The sequence below is a fragment of the Homo sapiens genome, chromosome 8 (genome assembly GCF_000001405.40).
Source record: "Homo sapiens chromosome 8, GRCh38.p14 Primary Assembly".
NCBI lineage: Eukaryota > Metazoa > Chordata > Mammalia > Primates > Hominidae > Homo > Homo sapiens.
In genome coordinates this window covers 90,659,464-90,667,671 of record NC_000008.11, presented here as the reverse complement: position 1 = coordinate 90,667,671, position 8,208 = coordinate 90,659,464, and the positions used below count along the sequence as shown (strand labels likewise).

At 39.3% G+C, this 8,208-nt stretch overlaps 1 annotated feature.

Moving 5' to 3' along the window:
• Positions 765-1,265: an enhancer, noted in NCBI's record as "H3K4me1 hESC enhancer chr8:91678635-91679135 (GRCh37/hg19 assembly coordinates)". NCBI's record gives its function as "activates a minimal SCP1, AML or CMV promoter by ChIP-STARR-seq in naive H9 embryonic stem cells {active_cell/tissue: H9 hESC(naive)}" and the evidence as "EXISTENCE:reporter gene assay evidence [ECO:0000049][PMID:30033119]".

Here is an 8,208-nt window from a genome sequence, read left to right as displayed (position 1 = left end):
CTAGGTACTTAAACAAAAATATAATTTTATCACCTTTTCTTTTTAACTTAAGCTAAAATTGAGTATGTCAGTGATCCCATTTGATTTTTCTCTTCCATTGGACAATAGTTTCTAAATATCATTTTATACTTCTCATTTACAATGAATTTGGATTAAGTAAAATATGTACAATGCTGGCTCCTTGGTGCTTATGTGCCTCATGAATTGGTAAGTCACAAAAAGACTCTTCAACACTACCTTTGCCATACAAAGGTATCCCTACATACGTAGGGATTCCTTAAAAGAGATTAATGGGATTCTCCAGCTTCTCTAACTGATCCTGGGGAAGACAACTGTGAACCCAGCTGTCTTCCCTGGAGGACAGGCATTAGAGACCCCACAGCTATCTCCTTCCACCTATTTACATTTGTAGAATAAAGCTGACACTTTAAATTGCAAATAAACAAACGTAAATATCTATCAGATTTTATTATAGAAAGTTAGAAAGGAGTTTTTGCCCTCCAAGATTAGAGGCTTTTAGCATGCCTCAGCAACTGGGAAATAACAAGATAGTGCCTAAAGATCAATTTTGTGAGCTTTAATTCAGGAAGGAAAATGGGAATCCACTGGAATTGTGAAGGACACCCCAGATCCCAGGGAGGATAATGTGGGCAAACAGCTCCTGTGACAGTATCTGGCTACTAAAAGTGTGTGAAGCCCCAGTATGTGAAAGAGGCAGAAAACCTTCCTCTGTGACTTACCTTTCCACTGGGGATCCAAGCAACCCAGGCCAAGGGAAAGCACTTTGTTTCTCCCAAGCTCTGAATAAACTGGGGAGAGGCTTGGAGACACTGTGAGGGAAAGACACCAGAAAAAGCTGCAGGCATTTTCCCAGACCCGGGACCTAAAGCAGGATGCCATTTTAAATCCAGATGCATACACAGTCAGCCATTCTTTGTCAACCTAGCAGCCTGGCTGTGGAAGCATTTTAGTCTCTGCCAAGAGATTGGAGCACCTGCCCTGGAGTGGGGTAGGGAATTACATAGCCACAATTTGGGAAGTACCTCAGCAGTAGGCACTGGAATTGTGCTCTCTCCTATCACAAGGCTGGGGCAGGAGAGAGCTGCTACAGCTGTAGTTTCTCCTGGGTGGCAAGACTTGCAGCTAGGGCCAGCTTGGTGACCTGGAATCAGTCTGCATGTGTCCTTGCTGGGTGCCCCAGCCTGCTCCCCAGAGATCATGGTGCAGCAAGGTCTTCTCTGTTCCACCCCTAGGCAGAAATCCAGGCACTCGGAGCACCCACCTGCCTGGACCAGCAGCCTGAGCTGCCTGATCCTTCATGGACATGGACATGGTGTAGCATGGGACATAAACATGGTGTAGCAGGTCCCTCTCTGCTCCATACACAGGCAGGTCTCTCCAGGTATTCAGAGCACCCCTCGCCTGGATCAGCAGCCTGAGCTGCCCCACCTTTCCTATATATAGATTGTGGTGTAGTCGGGCCGTCTCCGCTCCATGCCCAGCAGATCTCCAGGCATTCAAAGTATCTCCTCACCTGGATTGACAACCTGAGCCACCCCACCCTTCCTGTGCAAAGATCCGGGTGCAGAGGGACCCTCTCTGCTTCATACCCAGGCAGATCTTCAAGTATTTGGAACAGCTCACCTGATTCAGCAGCCTGAGCTGATCCACCTTTCCTGTGCAGAGATCTGGGTGCAGAGGGGCCCTCTCCACCTCATACCTAGGCAGATCTCCAGGAACCTAGAGTACCCACTATCCTCATTCCCATGCAGAGGACTGGGGCTGAAGAGGTTTCTCAGCTCCACACCTAGGCATACCTTTGGGCACTTGGTGGCCACTCACTAGATGCTCCCTCAGTAGTGGTACTTATGCCTGCCATTGGAGGATCTGCAGGTGGACCTTCCCAGTCCAACTCTACTCATCTTGCCCCTCCACCACCCAGGGCTGAGCAGGGAGCTCAGACCACTGTGCACCCCATAAATCAGTGCATTGTCAGAGGCAACAGATATCTTCTTCCAGTAAACAAGGATCAAGTACATACCCAGCTGCATTGGCCACAGCCAGCTCTTACCTATAAGCAACATCTGGGTAATATCAACTGAACAAGGTGAACTGGTGTTCCAAGTGCCTGCAGATCTGCCTGGCATAAAGCAGAGAGGGTCCCTCTGCATGCAGATCTCCGCACAGGAAGGGTGGAGTGGAACTGCATAACCCAGTAAAAAACCTGCTGACAGAAGTGCATAGGGCTATAAATGCAAGGCCAGGAGGCCCTAGCCAAAATTCTCTGCAGCCACATCCCCTAAGGAAGCAGGGAAATGGAAAGAAGGAAAAAAACAATAACATAAAGAAAGAAGAAGAAAACATCCTAACCACAGGAAAATAATTACAAAAATTGGAAGTGCCAGCATCTCCAGATGACAAAGAACCAGTGCAAGAATTCTAGGGCCTGAAAAATCTCACTATAGTGACACCACCAAAGGATTGCACTAGCTTTCCAGCCATGGTCCTTAACCAAAATGGAAAATCAGAAATGACAGATGAAGAATTCAAAGCATAGATAGCAAGGAAGCTTAATGAGATCCAAGATAAGGTTGAAATCAACACAAAGAAACTTCTAAATAAATCCAGCAAATAAAATAAGAAATAAATATCTTAAAAATAAGTCAATCAGAGCTACCGTAACTAAAAAACTCAATTAAGGAACTTCAAAATACAATTGAAACTTTTATCAATAGACTGAAACAAGTAGAAGAAAGAATTCAGAGCCTGAAGATTAGTCTTTTGAATTAGTCCAGTCAGAAAAAAATGAAGAAAAAAGAACTACAAAAATGAACAGTCTTCAAGAAATATTGGACTATGTACAGCAACAAAGCCTATGGATTATTGGTATTCCTGAGAGAGATGGATAAAAAGAAGACAACCTGGAAAACATATTTGAGGGAATAATTCAAGAGAAATTTCCTCATCTTCCTAAAGACATACACATTCAGATACAAGAAATCCAGAGAACACCTGCAAGATGCTATATAAAACAAATATCACCAAGGCATATAATCACCAGTCTGTCTATGATTAATGCTAAAGGAAAAATTTTAAAGGCAACTAGAGAAAAACGTCAGATTATGTACAAAGGGAACTCCATTGTGCTAATAGGAGACTTCTCAGCAAAAGTCATACAAGCCAGGAGAGACTGGGGACCTATTTTCAGCATTCTTAAAGAAATGATACTTCAATCAAGAATTTCATATCCCATCAAACTAAGCTTCATAAACGAAGGAGAAATAAAATATTTTCCAGACAAGTAAGCACAAAGAGACTAACTTTACAAGAACTCCTTAAGGGAGGAGTGCTAAACATGGAAATGAAAGAATAATATCTGCTCCCTCAAAAAGACACTTAAATACATAGCCCACAGACTCTGTAAAGCAACCACACAATAAAAACTACAAAGCAACCAGCTAATAACTTCATGATAGGATCAAAATTTCACATATCAACATTAACATTGAATGTAAATGGTCTTAACACCCCACTTAAAAGCCACAGACTGGCAGGTTGGATTAAAAAAACAAGACCTAGGCCTGGGGTGATGGTTCATGCCTGTAATCCCAGGACTTTTGGAGGCCGAGGTGGGCAGATCATTTGAGATCAGGAGTTTGAGACCAGCCTGGCCAACATGGTGAAACCCTGTCTCTACCAAAAATATAGAAATTAGCTGGGCGTGGTGGCATGTGCCTGTAGTACCAGCTTCTAGGGTGGCTGAAGCATAAAAATTGCTTGAACCCAGGAGGCGGAGGTTGCAGTGATCACACCACTGGGCAACAGAGCAAGACCCTGTCTCAAACAACAACAACAAAAACAAAAACAAACCGTCTATCTGCCGTCTTCAAGAGACCCATCTCATGCGTAAGGACATCCCATGCTCAAAGTAAAGGGTTGGAGAAAGATCTATCATGCAAATGGAATGCATTAAAGACAGAGGTGACTATTCTTATGTTAGGCAAAACAGACTTTAAACCAACATTAAACCAACAACAGTAAAAGAGGACAAAGAAGGACATTACACAATGATAAAAGTTTCAATTCAACATGCAGACTTAACTATCCTAAATATGTATGCACCCAATGTTGGAGCACCCAGATTCATACAACAAGTACTTCTAGACCTATAAGTAGAAATAGCCACACAATAATAGTAGAGAACTTCAACACTCCACTGACAGTGTTAGACAGATCACCAAGACAAAAAACTAACAAATAAATAGCGGACTTAAATTTCACATTTGACCAGTTGGACCCGATAGACATCTACAGAACAGTCCACTCATCATCCTCAGAATATACATTCTTCTTATCTGCACACAGAACATACTCTAAGACTGGCCACATGCTCAGCCATAAAGCAAGTCTCAGCAAATTCAAAAAAATCAAAATCATACCAATTATACTTTCAGACAAGAATGGAAAATAGAAATCAATACCAAGAAGATCTCTCAAAACCTCACAATTACATGAAAATTAAATCACTTGCTTCTGAATGACTATGGACAAACAATACAATTAAGGCAGAAATCAAAAAGTTATTTGAAATAAATAAAAACAGACACAACATACCAAAATCTCTGAAACAAAGCAAAAGCAGTGTTAAGAGGAAAGTTTATAGTGCTAAATGCCTACCTCAAGAAGTTGAAAGCTCTCAAATTAACAATCTAATATCACACACAGAGGAAGTTAAAAAAGAAGAACAAAGTAACCCCAAAGCTAGGAGAAGGAAAGAAGTAACCAAAATCAGAGCAGAACTGAATGAAATTGAGAACCAAAAATCATATAAGGGCTCAATGAAACCAAAAGCTGTTTCTTTAAAAAGATAAAGAAGATCAATAGACTGCTAACTAGATTAACAAAAAAACAAAACAAAACAAAACAAAAACCCAGAAGATCTAACTAAGCACAGTCAGAAATGATCAAGGTGACATTACAACAAACTTCTTGACATAAAACAGTTCCAGTGAAGGCATTTTAACAAGATAACCCATGAGCAAAACAAAACAAAACAAACAAAAACCTAGAGGGATTTTCTGTCCAATTTTGCAGTTGGAACAAAGCAAAATAAAGTGCTATCTGTTTCTCTGTCAAAAAAAGTTAGAAAGGATAAAAAGTACTAAGCCGATTTTTAAAAATTACTTGTAATAACACTCAAAGGGAAACATATTGGTATATTTCCTTCCAGTGTTTTTATGCATATTTTCAATATACATTTCTTATACACTAAGTCCTCATTTTATGTGTCAAAATAATACTGCCTAGCATAAAAGGGAATATCATACAAGTTCAGTATTTAGTAAAAAATTAGAAGGGAGCCAAAATAAAAGATAATATGAAACAGACTAAAATACTAGCGGGGAGGGGAAGGGACTCAGAAAACAGTGGGAGTAATTAAGAAGGATGACCCTCAAAATGAGAGAACCTAGTGAGGATCTTAAGTTCCAAAATAAAATTGAGATAACTTAGACAATAGATCGCATATTGCTTTACAGTTTAACCTGTAATAAAACCAAGAAGGACACTTTTTAGGTCACTCTGTAGCTTGTTGCACCAATATGAAACTAATATAGGGAAGAATCTTGGGCTATTCATACCCAAGTCTAAATGCAACCCAAGGAATAATGCTCAATACATTCTTTCTGTGTCATCACAGAGCCAATTTGTTATTTGGCTTTTTGACTTTTAACCTGAGGAATGGCTCCAGGACAATTGTGTTTTTGAAATAGGTACTGTATTTATGGGCTGTCAGAATATTTTTTAAAAGGCATATTTTATATACTGGGTATATGAAGAGGAATTATGCACAAATGCCCCCCTAGAAAAAGTCCCTTTATTAAATAGATTTTCCAGCTTATTCTCAATTGAAGATTTTCATTAACATTAGAAGGGAATGTTATTTCATCAACTTATAAGGCAATAAAAATATAAAAACAGGAATACAAAGATATTAATCTTAACTTCACGTGCATTAAATCTGAAAAGGAGTTTGGTCAGATTTTTTTGTGCAAATGAAAAATATTTAACTGTTTTTAAATATTAAACTAGTTTTGTTATGCAAAGCAGTATTTTTCCTGTATTTATTAATACTTATTAACAAACTCAAGCCAATTCCTTTTATTTTATGAACTTTTAGAATACCATTTTTCCAAAGGGCATAGAAGAATAACAAATATCACATTTGGCTGGGCGCAGTGGCTCACACTACACGGTGGCTCACAATGCTGTAATGTCAGCACTTTGGGAGGCCAACATAGGAGAAAAACTTGAAGACAGGAGCTCAAGACCCCGTCTTAAAAAAAAAATTACATTAAAAGTGTTTACATGATTTCTTGGTACTTAACTTTTAATATAATGATATCACTAAAATATAAATGAAATGTTTGCCTCTGTAAGTCATTTTATTTTCATATTAAGACATTATTCCATTTTGATTAATCATTAAGTGGTAATATTTCCTAAGAATTAAGCTTTCAAATTCTTTTTTTCAGCGTATTTCTCAAGTCGTTATCACTATTAGTAAGCATTCAACTAAATTAGAGGATATTTTATTTAAAAAATTTATTTTATAAAGTGAATTGCTTTAGAAGTACAAGTAACCTTTTTTAAAAATCAATATTTTTATCCTATTCACCAGACAGAATTATCATCATGGGACAAATTGCATATCTGATTTTCTTAGACAGGTAAACTTATTTTCCTAACAACTCAGTGAGTGATTTCCTCATTGCCAAGTAGCCTGTAATTCTCACATGAAATTTATTTTTAAAATGAATAAAATAGTATTGTCTATGAACATCTATGTTCTCCAAGGAGACAAGGAACCTCTTGAGGGCTGGGACCCTGTGGTTCATTTTACATGCCCTGCACCTTTCAGCAGTTGAGGCATTTCAGATAATTTTTTAAAAAGTCACGAATGAATGAATGAGCCAGTACATAAAACTAATGTAAACAGTGCTCTGTGCTTCTCTCAGCATTTCATAACAATACAAGAAATTGTTCTTTTTATTTCTCCATGTCCAGTTTCTCTATCCTCATGATCAAATTTTATTAGGTAGCTGTTCTAGTTTCCTGGAGCTGCCATAAGACATCACCACAAACTATGTATGTGGCTTAAAAACAACAGAAACTTATTTTCTCACACTTTGGAGGCCAGAAGTCTAAAATCAAATTGTCAGCTGGGCCATGCTCTCTATAAAAGCTCTAGGGGAGAAGCCTTCCTTGCCTTTTCCAGCTCCTGCGGACACCAGGTGTCCCTTGGCTTCACATGCCTCACTTCCATCTCTGCCTCTGCCTTCACGTGGTTTTCTTGTCTTCTGGTTTCTTTTCTGTCTCTTATAAAGACACGTGCCATTGGATTTAGGGCTCACCTGGTTAATCCTGGATGATATCATCTGGCGATCCTTACCTTCATTGTATCTGTAAAGACTATATTTTCAAATAAACTCACGTTCACAGGTTCTGAGTAGGCATATTATTTGGGGTCCATTATCCAATCCACCACAGTAGCTAATTGTACAGATATTTTTCTATTGAATATTTTTTAAAAATACCTTTTAAGTGGGTATACATATTTGTGCTAAATGATATGTTAAGCTGATACAAAAAAAAAAAAAAAAAAAAAAGCCCTAAACATATAGTGGCCTAAATAACGTAGGAGTTTATTTCTCATCTCACAGTCTGGCCAGACTAAGTGGTTAGAGTGGCTCTGCTCCATTAGGTCACAAAGGGTCCCTGGTGCCTTGGGTCTCTGCCATGTTGGCATTCAACTCAGATGGGGAATGGAAGTGGGGAACAACTACTCGTTTTAAACAAGTAAGGCTCAGCTGGGCACAGTGGCTCAAGCCTATAATCCCAGCACTTTGGGAGGCCGAGCAGGAGGATCACTTGAGCCTGGGAGTTCAAGACCAGCCTAGGAAACATGGCAAAAACCTGCCTCTACAAAACATACAAAAATTAACTGGGTGTAGTAGCATGCACCTGTAGTCCTAGCTATTTGTGAGGCTGAGGTGGGAGGATTGCTTGAGCCTGGGAGGATGAGGAGGCAATGAGCTGTGATTGTGCCACTGCACTGCACTCCAGTCTGGGCAACAGGGTGAGACTGTGTCTCAAAAAAACCCCAAAAAACAAAGAAATGAAGTTAGAGTTGCACACATCACTCTTATG